Source organism: Homo sapiens, chromosome 10, assembly GCF_000001405.40.
Source record: "Homo sapiens chromosome 10, GRCh38.p14 Primary Assembly".
NCBI classification, from domain to species: domain Eukaryota; kingdom Metazoa; phylum Chordata; class Mammalia; order Primates; family Hominidae; genus Homo; species Homo sapiens.
In genome coordinates, this window is record NC_000010.11 from 101,263,928 (window position 1) to 101,282,082 (window position 18,155).

An 18,155-nucleotide genomic window follows, 5' to 3' on the forward strand; every position below is an offset into this window, starting at 1 on the left:
TTCTCAGCTATAAAATAAGGAAAATAAGACCAGTTCTACTTACCTGAGAGCAAGGTTAGCAGATCAAGTCAGAAGATACATGTGAACACGCGGTTTAAAATACTGCACAAGGCTGGGCACGGTGACTCACGCTTGTAATCCCAGCACTTTGGGAGGCTGAGGCTGGCAGATCACCTGAGGTCAGGAGTTCGAGATCAGCCTGGCCAATATGGCAAAACCCCTTCTCTACTGAAAATACAAAAATTAGCTGGGCATGGTGGCGGGCGCCTATAATCCCAGCTACTTGGGAGGCTGAGGCAGGAGAATCACTTGAACCCAGGAGGTGGAGGTTGGCAATGAGCTGAGATCATGCCACTGCACTCCAGCCTGGATGACAGAGTGAGACCCTGTCTCAAAAACTAATAATAATAAAATAAAGTACTGCACAAGATGAGCTATGGATAAAATTATTACTGAATTGGGTGAAGGAAGGAGCTCTGGGAACAACTCTCAAAGCCCCATTATTTCTCTGGGTCAGGTTAAACTGGACGACAAGGATGGGCGACTGTCACTGGCCTGCCTCTGGAGTCTGAGCTTAGAGATTCCTCATGGAATAAGAAAGGGATTTGCACATTTCTCTCAGCTGCCAGATGTGCAAAGGATCCACAATGTGGAGATGACTCCAGGAAAGGCTTTGGGCTGGTGGACATGCACAGTAAGGACAGGGGCCTGGGGGCTGGGAAGGGGGCTTGGGAGGGGAGGAGCTTTTGAAGGGAAGGGCCCCTTGTCTCTGCTTAACCAAGTCAAGGCACCAAAGCTGTGCCCCCTTTCTTTCCAGGTCTTACCAATTCTCCCTCCCCATCCCACCCTGTGTCATTGCAGGGGCCATTCTAAGGCTCCCAGCAGCTCCCCAGAAGGGGAGGGGTGAGAGTTTTTCTTTAACCTCAAACATCAAACATTAGCCCTAAGTCCCCTTTTGTCTTCTGACCCCTACCCACCATTTCCTTCCATTTAACTGTTCCCACCAATGGTTCCCAGGAAAGTCAGCTCAAGCCCAGGGCTGCCAGAGCCAAGGGGAAGTGGGGAGGTAGTGGGGAATGGCTGAGGCTGCTCAAAGTGGCCTGGAGCTACTGGGCAGCCTCAGAAACCCTGGAGACCCAATTCCCAAGGAAAATGGGAGGTGAAAGGAGACAGGGTAATATTTCTTGCATGACTAGGGTGGGAAGATGAACCCAAAGCAAAGAATCTCTCCAATTTCTCTGTGCCTGGGTATGGGGAGTGGGTGCAGCAGGCTCCAGTCAGAGCTAAAAGGTCTGCCCCCACCATGAGTTTGAGAGTCCCTGTGGCCTGGCTCTGGTCCTCCTCTTGCCCCCAAAGAGATCCCAAACCCCTGGAAGAGTATGCAGCTACAGCTCCATAGACCAGGTACTAGGAGCCCTTGAAAGCTGGGGGATTGTCGGGGGAGAGGGAATTGCAGTTGGAAGAGAGGGGAGCTTGTGCACCTTAATGCCCACTAAAAATTCAAACTTTTAATCACACAGGAACATTTTTAGAGAAAATTAAAAATATGATACAAAGCACTAGGTATAGAATGATCCCATTTATGGAGCAAAAATAATCCTATAGTTTGCTTTTTTTTTTTTTTTTTTGAGATAGAGTTTCACTCTTGTTGCTCAGGCTGGAGTCCAATGGCATGATCTCGGCTCACCACAACCTCTGCCTCCCCAGTTCAAGCGACTCTCCCACCTTAGCCTCCCGAGTAGCTGGAATCACAGGCATGTGCCACCACACCTGGCTAATTTTTTTTGTGTGTGTGTGTATATATATGTGTGTGTGTATATATATATATATATATATATATATATTTTTTTTTTTTTTTTAACTAGAGACAGGGTTTCTCCATGTTGGTTAGGCTGGTCTTGAACTCTCGACCTCAGGTGATTTGCCCACCTCAGCCTCCCAAAATGCTGGGATTACAGGCGTGAGCCACCACACCCAGCCTTTTTTATATTTACTTTTTTTATTATTTTTATTTTTTTTGAGACGGAGTCTTCGCTCTGTCGCCCAGGCTGGAGTGCAGTGGCACGATCTTGGCTCACTGCAAGCTCCGTCTCCTGGGTTCACGCCATTCTCCTGCCTCAGCCTCCCGAGTAGCTGGGACTACAGGCGCCTGCCACCACGCCCAGCTAATTTTTTGTATTTTTAGTAGAGACGGGGTCTCACTGTGTTAGCCGGGATGGTCTCAATCTCACCTCGTGATCTGCCCGCCTCGGCCTCCCAAAGTGCTGGGATTACAGGCATGAGCCACCATGCCTAGCTTTTTTTTTTTTTTTTTTTTTTTTTTTTTTAACTACTGGAATAAAACCAGCAAAATACAGACAGTGATAATTTCTGGGTGGTAAGACTTCATATGATATTATTTTCTGTATACTTCTCTATAGCTTCCAAATTTTCTACCATCAACATTTACATTTATAATTAAGAAATTATTTAAAAGATTAAGAAGATAATTCTGGGATTAAGCTGACACCCTAAAAGTAGACCCAGAATTTTGGCAGACCCCAGGCCCTCTGCCTAGTCCTATGTCTGCTTCGGGGATCCCTGGCTGGCCCCTTCTAGGGCAGCCCGTGAGGCCGAGGCCCGCCAGCTGGGAGTCAGCTGTGCCTGGAGACAATCCGTGTCCAATGGGAGGTGGGGGGCTCATTTCCGAGCTGGATGGGGGCCAGGTCTAGGGCCAAGCAGCAACCTGGGGCACCGGTATTCACAGCTCCTCCCCAGCCTCTGCGCCTAAAAAGAGGACAGAGGCCTCAGAGTCAGCTTCTGCCCAGAGGATCCCCAGCCACTACCCCGGTGACTGGTTCTGGCCCACAGATACAGGAGAGGGGGTGAAGATGGCCATATCCCCAGTTCTGAGGCTCAGTGAGGATTTATGGAGCTGTGTTTAGGCCTAGATTTGCCCCATTCCCTCTCTCACCCCAGGCCTCCCAAGACCGTGGACTCAGGGAACGAATGACTAATCAGAGTTGGGAGGGGGTCCTACAGGGTTGGGCCCAGGGTTTTGGACCAAGGAGTCTCAGTTAATCCCAGCTGGGGTTTAGTAAAAATATGGCTAAGAAATTCTAGCCCACCTTCAAGTATTCAGCTGTGTTCAAGGAAAAACTCACACACACACACACGCACACACACACACACACACACACACACACATAAAAAAGGCTTTTTAGACTATTTATTTATGAGCATGTGTCAAAATTTTATTTCAATCTTGCTACAAGTGAAGAGACCTATAAAAGGCCAGCCGCTTCAAGATGACTTCTTGGTAGATACATTTAGAGGCAAGAAGAGTGGTTAGCAGCATTGTTAAAATGGGCATACAAAAATAATGTCTGAATAAAATATATAAAACTCTTCCAAACGGCAGGGTGGATAGGAAACTGGTTCCTGAGAAGAAATCTAAATCCTGTTAAAAGTTTATCGGAAAATTGCTTAAGCATTTTAACAACAAGGCTGATTTCCTCCCAGAAGGAAATAATGAATTACACTTGGCAAAAAGGCTGTGTCCCAGACAAGCTTGGGGGCCTTTCGTCTTCAGTTAGAAATTCCGGCTTGGCTGCTGCTCCAGGGCTGCAGGGTCAAGCATGAAGCAATTGATATGTAAATTCCAGGTTCCTGTGCGCCCAAACTTGTGCCGGGCACCAAGACGAGAATAAGACAGCAGGGCAGAAGTTGTGGAGAAGCTGAATTGTCTCTCTGCAAGGAAAAATTTCCTGACACAAGTATCTGTCCAGGCAAGTACCCCAGAAGTTCTGAGTTCCCTCATTTTGGAGGTAAGCAAGGCCGCAGAGGAAGCAGGAGGCCTCATGGTACAGATATTTTAGAACTACTTACCCAAGTGGGGGACCTGGACCTCTGACAGAATGCCAGATGATTTTCAATGGTGCATTGACAAGACATTAAATCACTCTGAATTTCATAGTGAGAAAGCTATTTCCTTGTCAATTCTCTTTCTTTATTTCCCTGTTTTTTTTCCACTGGAACTTGGGTTTACAGAACTGGATTAATCACATTCCTTGCTTCATGATACACTCTCACCATTGGTCATTGCATGGTTTTCTTTTCTTTTTCTTTTATTATTGTTATTTTTTAAGACAGTCTCACTCTCGCCCAGGCTGGGGTGCAGTGTCGCAATCTGGGCTCACTGAAACCTCTACTTCCTGGGTTCAAGCGATTCTCGTGCCTCAGCCTCCCAAGTAGCTGAGATTACAGATGTGCACTACCTTGCCTAGCTAATTTTGTATTTTTAGTAGAGATGAGGTTTCACCACATTGGCCACACTGGTCCCAAACTCCTGGCCTCAAGCAATCCACCTGCCTTGGCCTCCCAAAGTGCTGGGATTACAGGTGTGAGCCACAGCGCCCAGCCTAGATTTTCTTTTAATTAGTTTAAAATATTATCATAAGCATCCATGACTTTATCACCCAAAACAAAATCTCAGACCTTGACAATAACTGACAACTAACCAAATGGTACCACATCCCATTCTCTGCCTCCCATCTCAGCCAACTCACAACCCTGAATCCCATAGTCATCATTCCCTTGCTTTCCTTTTAATAGTTTTATAGCACTTTTATTTATTCCTTAAAAGTTTATTTTAAATTTTAACTGTTCTTTATTAAAAAATAGTATCAGGCTATATATAACTTTTTTTGACTTGGTATTTCACATAATATTATATTGCTAAGAGTCATCCATATTATTGCATGTCACTTAAGTTCCTTTGTTTTGACTACAGTATAATATTCCATTGTGTGAGATTAGCTCAGGCTATTATAAAGATATCACTTTCCTTACACTCATGAGCACAGCAGCATTATTCACACTCACCAAAAGCTGGAAGCAATCCAAGTGCCCAGCAAGAGATGAATAAACAAAATAGCCAGGTGAGGTGGCTCATGCCTGTAATCCCAACACTTTGGGAGGCCAGGGCAGGAGGATCCCTCAAGCCCAGAAGTTCAAGACCAGCCTGAGCAACATAGTGAAACCTCGTCTGTACAAAAAATAAAAAATTGGCCAGGCAGGGCGGTGTGCTCCTGCAGTGCTAGCTACTCAGGGGTCTGAGGTAAGAGGATTGCTTGAGCATTGGTGGTCAAAGCTGCAGTGAGCCGTGATCGTGCCACTGCATTCCAGCCTGTGCAACAGAATGAGACTTTGTCTTGAAAAAAAACTTTAAAAAAATGTAGTATATACACATACAATGGAATATTATTCAGCCTTAAACTCTGACACATGCTGCAACATTGATGAACCTTGAGGACATTATGCTAAGTGAAATAAGCCAGTCACAAAAGGTTAAATACTGTATGGTTCCACTTACATCAGGTGCCTAGAATAAATGCCCAGGGATGAGAGTAGGATGGTGGTTGCCAGGAGCTGGGGTGGGGAGAGGAATGGGGATTATCGTTTGATAGGTACAGAGTTTCAGTTTGGGAAGAGTTCTGGAGTTGGATGATGGTGATGGCTGCATAACAATGTGAATGTAATTAATGCCACTGAACTGTACACTTAAAAGTAGTTAAAAATGGGCCGGGCGCGGTGGCTCACGCCTGTAATCCCAGCACTTTGGGAGGCCAAGGCGGGCGGATTGCCTGAGCTCAGGAGCTCGCCACCAGGCTGGGCAACACAGTGAAACTCCGTCTCTACTAAAATACAAAAAATGAGCCAGGCGTGGCAGCGTTCACCTGTAGTACCAGCTACTCCGGAGGCTGAGGCAGGAGAATTGCTTGAACCCGGGAGGCAGAGGTTTCAGTGAGCCAAGATCACGCCACTGCATTCCAGCCTGGGTGAGAAAGCGAGACTCCTATCAAAAAAAAAAGTGGTTAAAAATTGTAAAATTTTATGTTATGTATATTTTATAATAACAAAAACATATCTTTCCCATCAATGGGCATTTGGGTTGTTTGATTCTTCCAGTTTCCTCGAAGAGAATGTCTCAGTTTGGTGCTAGTATGTCTTTAACACCTCTCTAACGTGTGTTTCTCTTCTTTCCCTTTTTAACAGAGAGGAAGATTCAACTGCAAGAGCTTTCAGCAGGCAATGGTGTCCAACTAGAATCGAAACACATTGTTATTGTTTTACTTATTTTTATAATTACTTTTTATTTTGGCAAGTAACGGGTGGTTTCGCAGTTACTGTAGTGCTAGAAGGCTTTTTTAAAAAAACAATAAACATACTTGAGTAAGAAATAGTAAGTTGATTTAAAGAAAAATATCAAGTAAATAACATTTTAGGTAGAATATGGATTTGGCATGAATTGTGACACTGGTACTCGAATGTGGAAAGTTTGGGAAACATGAATTTAGAGGTTGCTCAGACTCTTGTTGAACCAGTGATCTCTGAGACCCTTCCAAGGTTAACAATGTCTGATATTCTGGATGTACAGACAGTATAGGTCATAGGAGCTCAGCAAGTGCTAACATGGACAGGGAAGGCTTTGTGGGACATGATCTTGGTCTTAAAGAACGAGTAGGATTTAAGTGAAGATAAAGACGAAATCAGAGTTCTTCCAGGCAAAGAAAATAACATGAAGGTCAAACTAACCAAGGTATGCTTAAGGGCTAATAAGTTTGCCTGGTGGAAGCAAAGGATAGTGATAGAAAATAAAGGAAATCACCGGGCATGGTGGCTAACACCTGTAAGGCCAAGGCGGGAGGATCACTTGAGCGTAGGAGCTTGAGACCAGCCTCGGTAACATAGTGAGACCCCATTTCTAAAAAATAAAAGAAAAGAAAATAATTTGGAAAATCTAAAAAATCTGAGGACTTTAGACTTAGTTGTGAGGGTATAGGGAGTCACGGAAAGTTCTTGAGCAGGTAAGTGACATGATGAAGGGACTCAGATCTTGAGCAGGTACCACTTGGTTTTTGGTGAAAATTTCCTCCTTGTCCAGCCTGAGACTGCTGACTAGTTCATTTATCTCTCAAATATTTATCAAAGGCTTCCCGTGTACCAGGCACTGCCCTGTGAATTCAGTGATGCACAAAAACATACTCCTCATCCTACAATCCTCTAGTGTGTGAGTCAGGCATTAAATGAAGTAACCACGCAAACATAAAATTCCAAGTGTCGATAAGTCCAACTAAAGAGGTGCTCCTGATGCCAGGAGTGCATATAGCAGTGGGGAGGCTTACCTGCCTTAGGAGTCAGGGCAAGGCTGTTCTGAGGAAGCCACAGCTGAGCTGATATTGAAAGGATAAGAGGCATTACATGGGTGAAGAGAAGAGGGAAAAGCATTTCAGACAGGGAAAGCGGCATGCCCCAAAGCCCTGTGGCCTGCAGAGGAAAGCTGGGGGAATCAGGAGCCCCAGGAGGGCAGGAGGGGATCAGGGAAAAGGTCATTGTGGCTGGGTATCAGGGAACATGGTGTGAAGAGAGGCTGGAGCCCCGCAGGCTCTAGGAAGGTTTGGGAGTTTATCCTAGAAGAGAGGTGCCATTGAAAGGGCTGTGACATGGTCAGTTCAGTGTTTATTTACATTTCGAGACAGCATCTTGCTCTGTTGCCCAGGCTGGAGTGCAGTGACCAGATCACAGCTTACTGTAACCTCTACTCCTGGGCTCGAGTGATCCTCCTATCTCAGCCTCCTGAGTAGCTGGGACTACAGGCATGTGCCACCATGCCTGGCTAATTTTTTACTTTTTGTAGAGACAGGGTCTCACTATGTTGCTCAGGCTAGTCTCAAATTCCTGGGCTCAATAATCCTCCTGCCTCAGCCTCCCAAAAAGTGTTGGGATTACAGGTGTGAGCCACTGTGCCTGGCCCAGATTATTGTTTAAAATAATAATAATAATAATCAGGGCCGGGCATGGTGGCTCACGCCTGTAATTCCAGCACTTTGAGAGGCCAAGGCGGGCGGATCACGAGGTTAAGAGATCAAAACCATCCTGGCCAACATGGTGAAACCCTGTCTCTACTAAAAATACAAAAATTAGCTGGGCATGCTGGTGCATGCCTGTAATCCCAGCTACTCGGGAGGCTGAGGCAGGAGAATCGCTGCAACCCGGGAGGTGGAGGTTGCAGTGAGCCGAGCGTGCCACTGCACTCCAGCTTGGTGACAGAGCAAGACTCAGTCAAAAAAAAAAAAAAAAATCAAACCTTCTGGTACATGTGAGGAAGGCAGGGTGACATGTATTCATGTCTCTCTCTCAGGCAGCCCCAGAACACTCCAGACGCTGGAGATTGGGAGGCTGATCTGAAGAGAGTGTGCAGGAGGCTGAGGTGGGCCTGCAGTGGCAGCAAAGAAAAGCAAAGGGGACAGGGTGACTGTGAGGATCGGACAGAGTATAAGCTGGGCAGGGGCCAGAAGGGACCCATATGACCGGGGAGGGGCACATGAAGAGGACACATGAGTAGGGTACTGCAAGCAGTGCGGGCAGAGGCTGGAGCCTGGAAGAGAAGGCAGGGCTGGAGTCACTCCCAGAGGCACAAAGCTGCGGCAGTAACTAAGTTTGCCCAGGAGAGGGCTCCACCTTGGCAAAATGGCTACGTCTGAATGACTCAAATGGTCTCTGAGGTCCCCTGGAGAAAAGATGTCCAAGGACGAGGCCTTGGGGAACTCCTGGCATGCTTGGAGGAAAAGGAGCCAGGGACAGTGGTTGAGGGCAAGCTGGAAGGGGATGGACCGAGCAAAGACACCAGGTTAGGAGCAGGAAGGGGACCAGGAAGAGCACAGAGCTGCAGTGACAGGGTTTGTAAGTGGGGACGGAGAAGGGACAGCCACCTGGGTGATTGGCAAGCCTGGAGGCTCCGCAAGTCCAACCCCCAAGTCTGCAGGGGGCAGACACCATGCTTTGTTTTCACCTTCTCCTGGGTATAACGGGCGAGACAGTGGTAGTAGAGGTTGGTGGAGGCCGGTGGGAGAACACTGACCAGGATGGTGGAACGAAGCTGACCTGAAAGTGAGGACCCCTCACTTGACCCCTACATCATCCCCCTTTTCTTTCTAAGCATCCCTGGGCTTTAGAAAAATAGGGAGACTGAGAAGAAAACTTCTCTCTAGAAGGAGCCAGACTTTAGGGGCTGGAGGGAGAAGAGAAGAGGAAACCTGAACAGGAACCCCATCGTGCTTTTCTTTTTTTTTCTTTTTTTTTTTTTGAGACAGAGTCTCACTCTGTCGCCCAGGTTGGAGTGCAGTGGCGAGATCTCGGCTCACTGCAAGCTCCGCCTTCCGGGTTCACGCCATTCTCCTGCCTCAGCGTCCCGAGTAGCTGGGACTACAGGCGCCCGCCACCACGCCCGGCTAATTTTTTGTATTTTTAGTAGAGACGGGGTTTCACCGTGTTAGCCAGGATGGTCTCGATCTCCTGACCTCGTGATCCGCCTGCCTCGGCCTCCCAAAGTGCTGGGATTACAGGCGTGAGCCACCACGCCTGGCCACCCATCGTGCTTTTCAACATTTGTAAGCAGGCGGGGAATAAGGTAAGCTTGTGGACTCCGAGGCTCGTGTGCGCAGGCGCACATGCATGCAGGTACCCACATAGACCTGTGCTGACTTGAACACCTGCACTCACTGATTCACACGCGCATCCTCTTGAACACATGCTCACACAGCCCTCATTCACATGCCTCTTCCCTTGCCACGCACACATACTCATACTGGCATCCCTCCTAAACACATGTTCCCTCTTACCCTGCCACTCCCCAACCACACACACACACCCAGGAGAATCCTAGGAAGCTGTTCACAATAGTCCTGGATCTCCAGGAATGTGTGTGATTACCCACGATGTGTGTGTATCTATGTAAGATGCAATTCAGAGGGGTGATGTGTGGGTGGGTGGGGATGGGGGATACCCCAAGATGCGATGTGTGTCTGTAAGGGGATGAATGTAGTAAAGTGTGCATTCATTCATTCCATCATTCACTCAACCAGGTTATGGAGGCGCCACCATGTCCCAAGCACTGCACTTGGTTAAACAGTGAACCACATAGACACTATCACTGCTCACAATCTAATGAGCTCCAGAGAAGACAGGCCCTGAGGACATAGCTGGGAAATGCCGTGAAGGGGGAATGCCATGTACTATGGGAGCTGGGAACAGGCAAAGTGACCCAGAGAATTTCCCAAGAACAGGGTGTGTACCTTAGTGAATGAGTATAGACACTGGTCTGGGGGGCGCCTCTGGGATGTGAGCTGCATGTCAGCAGGTTGGAAGGTATTTTGGTGGACATGAGGATTGGGAGGTATAGGGTGTGATATGTGCATGTGTGTACAGCTGTGTGTGCATGGGAAGGAGTGAGGTGTGTATCATTATCAGAATTATTGGAGCAAACAGGCTCTTTATTATGTGTATAATTTCCCTGCGTCCCATCGGTTCCCTCTGTGCAGGGGGAGTTGGAGTGGAACTAAACCAAATAGGGGATTTAGCAACTTCGAGAGGCTGTGGCAGAGCTTAAAGTGCTGCTGATAGATGGTGGTGGCAGGCATGGGAGAGAAGAGGTGTCACCAGCAGTGGAGAGGGAACAGAAGAGGGAATTTTGATTGGGCTGGGGGCAGGGACCGGTGTCCGGTGCCCACTTTCAGAGAGGAGGTCTGGGGACAAGTGCAGGAACTGGCCGTTCTCTGCAATAACCTGAGAGAAGAAAAGGGATGGGGAGAGGGAATGCCCAATACAGCTCAGTCCTGCCTGGGGCAGGGAGTTCGGGCCTGAGGGCGTGGCTGCACAGCCTCTCTTCTTTTAGGGGTCTCATATATGGACCCTTATATATGAGGTCCATATATTTCGTGCATCTCATATGTGGAAAATGGCCCTGAAGTTTAGTGGAAATAAGTCATCTCAGTGTTGAGTTCAAATCTCAGCTCTGCAGTAGGACCTTGGGCAAGTTACTTCTCAGAGTAGTGCAATAATTGGAGTAATAATATTTACTTTGCAGGGTTGTGGTGATCAGTAGTAACATATAAAAACTTTGGCACCTTGGAAGCACTCAATGAATGATGATGTTTTATTAAAGATATTGGATCTACTTTGGGAGGCTGAGACAGGCAGATTGCCGGAGTCCAGGAGTTCAAGACCAGCCTGGGCAACATGGTAAAACCCTGTCTCTACAAAATAATAATAATAATAATAATAATAATAATTATAGGCCAGGCATGGTGGCTCACACCTGTAATCCCAACACTTTGGGAGGCCGAGGCAGGTGGATCACTTAAGGTCAGGAGTTCGAGACTAGCCTGACCAACATGGTGAAACTCCAACTCTACTAAAAATTACAAAATTAGCTGGGCATGGTGGTGGGTGCCTGTAATCCCAGCTACTTGGGAGGCTGAGGCAGGGGAATCACTTGAATCGCAGAGGCGGAGGTTACAGCGAGCCAAGATTGCACCATTGCACTCCTGCCGGAGCAACAAGAGTGAAACTCCATCTCAATAATAATAATACATAAATTAGCCGGGCATGGTGGTGTGCGCCTGTAGTCTGTTACTCAGGAGGCTGAGGTGGGAGGGTCGCTTGAGCCCTGGAGGTCGAGGCTGCAGTGAGCTGAGATTGCATCACTGCACTCCAGCCTGGGAGACAGAGACTCTGTCTCAAAAAAAGAAAAAAAAGGCTGGGCACGGTGACTCATGCTTGTAATCCCAGCACTTTGGGAGGCCAAGGGGGGCGGATCACCTGACGTCAGGAGTTTGAGACCAGCCTGGCCAACATGGTGAAACCCTGTCTCTACTAAAAATACAAAAGTTGCTGGGTGTGGTGGCGCATGCCTGTAATCCCAGCTACTCGGGAGGCTGAGGCAGGAGAATCGCTTGAACCCCGAAAGCAGAGGTTGCAGTGAGCCGAGGCCTCACCATTGCACTCCAGCCCAAGTGACAAGAGTGAAACTCTGTCTCAAAAAAAAGACATTGAATCTGTTCGTAGATCTACATCATCTACCTGCCAATCAATCTACACCTCTCCCACCCTGTAAGATTAAAACCCAGCCTGTTCCTACCCAGGCTTGTGGGTACAGCTCCTTCTCCCTGCTCTGGGGCTGGAGAAATGTTTCTGAATAACGGTGTCTGTTTCTCTGGCTGCCCCTCCAAGCATGTTTCTATCACCAGTTTCTTTTTTCTTCTCTCTTTTACTTTATTTTTTCCTGCTTAGCCAAGTAGAAAATAAGTGTAAAGAAGCAGGAGAAAGAAAACCTTTAATCCCACCACTCAGAGGCAATTATAAAAATTGCTAACATTTCTTCAGTGCCACTTTGTATCAAGTTTTGTATCCAAATGCTTCGGATGCTTTATTTCATTTCATCCTCACAATAACCCAGGGAAACTGGTACCATGATTATCCCCACTTAATAGAAGCTGAAGCATGGAAGGTACCTTGCCCAAGATCATACAGCTAGTAAGTGATATAAGAAGGATGTGACTTGGGCAAATTCCACTTTCCTTCCGGTCTTTTAGCTATTCTGTCTTCTGAGGACTTTCCTGCTGGCTTCCTATAGCCTCTTGCTGTCTTAGTTGAGCCAGATCTCTAGCCTTTACTTTACAAATATTTATTGCTCACCTCCTCTGTCTTGGGCATCTTGCTGGGCCCTGCTGGGAGGCAGGAGGCAGCTACAGAGAAGCTTTCCAGGGCCCAGCTGCCAGCAGTCCTTTAGAGCAAGGACCAGAGAACAAAATTATTGCCCAGGGATAAATCAATGCAGAAGAAGCAGCAAGAGATGCTGCCAGCAGGGGCTTGGGAAGGAGGTTCCCTGAGGATTCTACTCTCAGCTGAGCCCTCACCTAATGCCCACTTCTCCCACCAACTCCCATCACTGCATTCTATCTCTTCCTGGGGCATGGCCCTGATACCCAAAGGACCTGAGACCCTGGATCCCACAGCCCTGGGGCTGCAGCAGGCCTGCAAGCTCATTCTCAGGATCATTGTAGCAGCCAAAATGCCTTTCTGCCCTCCATCCAGCCAATCCACCAGTGACCATATGAATCACCTAAAGCTGACTCCATTTTGTCCCTGTTCTGCTCAAAAGCAATGGCACTCAGTTAAGTAAGAACTTCTCAGCTGGCTGGCATTCAGAGAGGGTCTTGCTGATCTAAACTCAAACTGCCTTTGCAGCCTTCTTTCTGCTGCCCACCAGCTCACAATTACACCCCAACTGGAAAACTCCTTCTCAACAGCTCTTCCTTATTAACACCCCACCTTTCCTTCAAGTCCTATAGGAAATGGCTCTTCCTACAAAATCTTTCCTGAACATCCTCCCCAAGCACAATGACCACCAGGCATATCTCTTCCTTTGAGGTCCATAGTCCTTTATACTCCTTCCTGGGCACTAATCTTAGGCTGCCTGATAGCATAATGTTTTTTATCTGTCAGGTTGTAGCATAATTATTTTTTAATTGAGGTATAACATGTACAGTAAAGTACAATAATCTTAAGTGAATTTTTTTTTTAAGATGGAGTCTTGCTCTGTGGTCCAGGCTGGAGTGCAGTGGCATGATCTCAGCTCACTATAACCTCCACCCCCTGAGTTCAAGCAATTCTCCTGCCTCAGCCTCCCGAGTAGCTGGGACTACAGGCGCACGCCACCATGCCCGGCTAATTTTTGTATTTTTGGTGGAGATGGGATTTCACCATGTTACCCAAGCTAGTCTCAAACTCCTGACCTCAGGTGATCTGCCTGCCTCAGCCTCCCAAAGTACTGGGATTACAGGCGTGAGCCACCATACCCAGCCCTTAAGTGAATTTTAAATGAATTTTTATACACACACTGTAACTTCTAACCAGATGAAGATACAGCACATTTCTAGCGTCCCAGAAGGATCCTTTTGCCTCTTTCCCCAGGATCTCCTATTCTTTTTTTGAAATAACTTTTATTTTTAAATATGTATTTCTTTATTTACTTGAGACGCCGTTTCATTCTGTCACTCAGGCTGGAGTGCAGTGGCGCAATCACAGCTCACCATAGCCTCGACCTCCCTGGTCAGCTCATCCTCCCACCTCAACCTCCCCATTAGTTACGACTACAGGCGCATGCCACATGTAGTCACAGAGTTCCACCATGTTGCCCAGGCTAGTCTTGAACTCCTAGGCTCAAGCAATCCACTCACCTTGGTCTCCCAAAATGCTGAGATTACAGGCATGAGCAATTGCTAAAATAAGTTTTTATGCCTTAATAAATCCTTCATTGGAAAATCCAGTACCTCCTATTTTTTTTTTTTTTTTTTTTTTTTTTTTTGAGACAGAGTCTCACTCTATCGCCCAGGCTGGAGTGCAGCGGTGTGACCTCGGCTCACTGCAAGCTCTGCCTCTCGGGTTCACACCATTCTCCTGCCTTAGCCTCCCAAGTAGCTAGGACTACAAGCGCCGCCACCACTCCAGGCTAATTTTTGTTTGTATTTTTAGTGGAGACGGGGTTTCACTGTGTTAGCCAGGATGGTCTCGATCTCCTGACCTAGTGATCTGCCCACCTCGTCCTCCCAAAGTGCTAGGATTACAGGCGTGAGCCACCACGCCCCGCCTCCAGTACCTCCTATTCTAATTTATATCATCATAGATTAATTTTCCTTGTTATTGGGCCAGGCACAGTGGCTCACGCCTGTAATTCCAGCACTTTGGGTTGCTGAGGCAGGCGGATCGCTTGAGCTCAGAAGTTGGATACCAGCCTGGGTAACATGGCAAAACCCCATCCCTACAAAGTATACAAAAATTAGCCAGGCGTGGTGGCACAGGCCTGTAATCCCAACTACTTAGGAGGCTGGGGCATGAGAATTACTTGAACCCAGGAGGCAGAGGTTGCAGTGAGCCAAGATCATGCCACTGCACTCCAGTCTGGGCAATAGAGTAAGACTCTGTCTTGAAAAATATATATATTTTTTCCTTGTTATTGAAGCTTTTTTTTTTTTGAGACAAGGTCTCATTCTGTTGCCCAGGCTGGAGTGCAGTGGTATAATCGCAGCTCATTGCAGCCTTGACCTCCTGGGCTCAAGTGATCCTCCCACCTCTGCCTCCCCAAGTAGCTGGGACTACAGGTGTATACCACCATGCCCAGCTAATTTTTCTGTGTTTTATTTTTTTTGTAGAGATGAGGTTTCACCATGTTGTCCAGGCTGGTATCAAACTCCAGGGCTCAAGCAATCTGCCTGCCTCAGCCTCCCAAAGTGCTGGGATTACAGGTGTGAGCTACCATATAGGGCCTTGTTATTGAAACTTAGATAAATGAAGCATACAATATACACTCTTTTGTGTCCAACTTATTTCATGTAACATTGTATCTCTGAGATTTACCTACATTATTGCATTTTCCAATAGTCCGTTGTCTTTCCTTGCTTTGTAGAATTCCACTGTGGAAATATACCAAAATGTACTTACCCATTCTATTATTGATAGACATTTGGGTTGTCCCAATTTGGGGTTAGTACAAAATCAGCTGCTGTGACCATTTTTGTACTTGACTTTTGCTGAACATAAGTATTCATTCTCATGAGCATATATATGCAGGAGTAGATTTGCTGAGTTGTAGAATACACATATGTTAGCTTTAGTGGTTACTTCCAAAGAGTTTTCCAGAGATGCTACCAACTTACACTACCAGCAATGTATGTGAGTTATAGTTGCTCCAATATTTTCAGTCTTTTTATTATTTATTTATTTTTTGAGATAGATTCTCACTGTGTCACCCAGGCTGGAGTGCAGTGGCACAATCTTGGCTTACTGAAACCTCCGCCTCCCAGGTTCAAGTGATTCTTGTGCCTCAGCCTCCCGAGTAGCTGGGATCACAGGCATATGCTACCACACCCGGCTAACTTTTGTATTTTTAGTAGAGATGGGGTTTCGCCATGTTGGCCAGGCTGCTCTCAAACTCCTGACCTCAGATGATCCCACTTTGGCCTCCCAAAGTGCTGGGATTACAGGCATGAGCTACCATGCCCAGCCAGTCTTTTTATTATTTATTTTTATTTATTTATTTATTCTGAGAGAGAGTCTTGCTCTGTCGCCCAGGCTGCTGGAGTGCAGTGGCACAATCTTGGCTCACTACAACCTCCGCCTTCTGAGTTCAAGCAATTCTCCTGCCTAAGCCTCCCAAGTAGCTGGGATTACAGACATGCGCCACCACACCCAGTTAATTTTTGTATTTTTTAGTGAGATGGGGTTTGGCCATGTTGGCCAGGCTGGTCTTGAAGGCTTGGCCTCAAGTGATCCACCCTCCTTGGCCTCCCAAAATGCTGGGATTACAGGCATGAGCCACCATGTCCCATCCAGCCCCCTGTTTTTTTTTTTTTTTTGAGATGAAGTTTCACTCTTATTGTCCAGGCTGGAGTGCAATGGTGTGATCTCGGCTCACCACAACCTCTGCCTCCCAGGTTCAAGCGATTCTCCTGCCTTAGCCTCCGGAGTAGCAGGGATTACAGGCATGCACCACCACGCCCGGCTAATTTTGTATTTTTAGTAGAGATGGGGTTTCTCCATGTTGGTCAGGCTGGTCTCAAACTCCTGACCTCAGGTGATCTGCCTGCCTTGGCCTCCCAAAGTGCTGGGATTACAGGTATGAGCCACTATGCCCAGCCCCCACCTAGCCTTTTTAATTTTAACCATTTCAGCAGATGTGATCATGATTTATTTATATTTTAAAATAATATTAATATTAATAATATTTACCACCTATTGGCACTAGAAATTTAGCATCCATTGCCTTTAATATTAACAACTCTAGAAAGTAGATATTTTTATCTCCATTTTACAAGCGAGGCTCTGGGTGACTAATAGTTGAACAAGGTGACATGGATGTAAGTCATAGAACCAGAACACCAATGCAGAATCCTCTGACAACAAAAGCCTGTTTGCCCCTTGCCTGCCACACAGTAGGGAGCAAGAGCCTTGTCTTTCTCCTCTGAGATGCTCCACAGTGCTTAAGTAAGAGCTTAAGAAGGCTTGTTATATTAAATGAATTGGTGTCCATGAAGAGGCTGTGCTCTTGCATCAGGGCAGGCCCATCCAGGTGCTCTAAATTCCAGCGACTAAGACTGTACTTTCAGGGATCATTTCTTTAGTTCATTACTAGATAAGTTTCTCTGAATATGTAGAGCGCTGAATTATAATAAATAGATTTTAAAATAAATAAGTAAATAAATTCCAGTCACTGACTAGATTTAGTTGCAATCAGGAGATCTTGTTTTTGGAAAGAAGGAAGGAAAGAAGGAGGGAAGAGACGAAAGAAGGAAAGAAAGGAGGGAAGGAAGGAAGGAAAGAAGGAAGGAAGGAAAGAAGGAAGGAAGGAAGGAAGGAAACACCACTGTTTGTTTGTCTGTTTGTTTGTTTTGAGATGGAGTCTTGCTCTGTCGCCCAGGCTGGAGTGCAGTAGCTCAATCTCAGCTCACTGCAACCTCCACCTCCCAGGTTCAAGCCATTCTCTTGCCTTAGCCTCCTGAGTAGCTGGGATTACAGCCACCCGCCACCATACCCGGCTAATTTTTGTATTTTTAGTAGAGTTGGGTTTTCGCCATGTTAGCCACGCTGGCCTTGAACTCTTGAGTTCAGGTGACCTGCCCACGTCGGCCTCCCAGAGTGCTGGGATTACAGGCGTGAGCCACTGCACCCAGCCAAAACGCCGCTATTAATCAATTGGGCCTCAGTTTCCTCTTGTGTAAAATGGAGATAATAATATTGCCCTGGCTAATGAGAGAATGAGAGGCAGTGCTTTACCGTTTGTAAATTTTAATTTGTAAATTGATAGAATTATTTAACCATAGCCACCATCTGTGGAACTTTCTAAAATATATGGATTCCAGGGACCCAGCCCTGAAGATCCAGATTGGCATGATCTAGGGTGGGGCCTGGGTATGTACATTTTTAAAAAGCTTCTCTGGGTGATTTCAATGCTCAGCTAATGGTGAGAACAGCTGGGGTAAAAATGTGTATGATCATCATTATTGTTTCAGTATGATCATCACTGTAGTTATCTTTTGGAGGATGAAAGTGGGGAAACACCCTTTAGAGAAGTCTATAAACACCTAGATCCATTGTAAGTCCTTAAATAAGGACCACTGTCACTGTCTTCGCTCCCTGGTCATCTCTGGCCTGGGGTTTCAGAGGCAGGTTCATAAGTGTGTGTGTATGTGTTTTCATGAATATGTGCTTGGAAAAGGCAATGAGAAGAAAGCAGATTATGAGGGGTTTCTGTCTTGAGAGGAAGCTACTGGAACCAG

General features: G+C 46.6%; 1 pseudogene, besides 1 other annotated feature; it reads left to right on the top strand.

Moving 5' to 3' along the window:
- Positions 2,713 to 3,251: an enhancer, noted in NCBI's record as "H3K27ac-H3K4me1 hESC enhancer chr10:103026397-103026935 (GRCh37/hg19 assembly coordinates)". NCBI's record gives its function as "activates a minimal SCP1, AML or CMV promoter by ChIP-STARR-seq in naive H9 embryonic stem cells {active_cell/tissue: H9 hESC(naive)}" and the evidence as "EXISTENCE:reporter gene assay evidence [ECO:0000049][PMID:30033119]".
- On the top strand, positions 16,970 to 17,049 carry LOC124902597 (uncharacterized; annotated as a pseudogene).
- Positions 17,050 to 18,155: the final 1,106 nt, after the last annotated feature.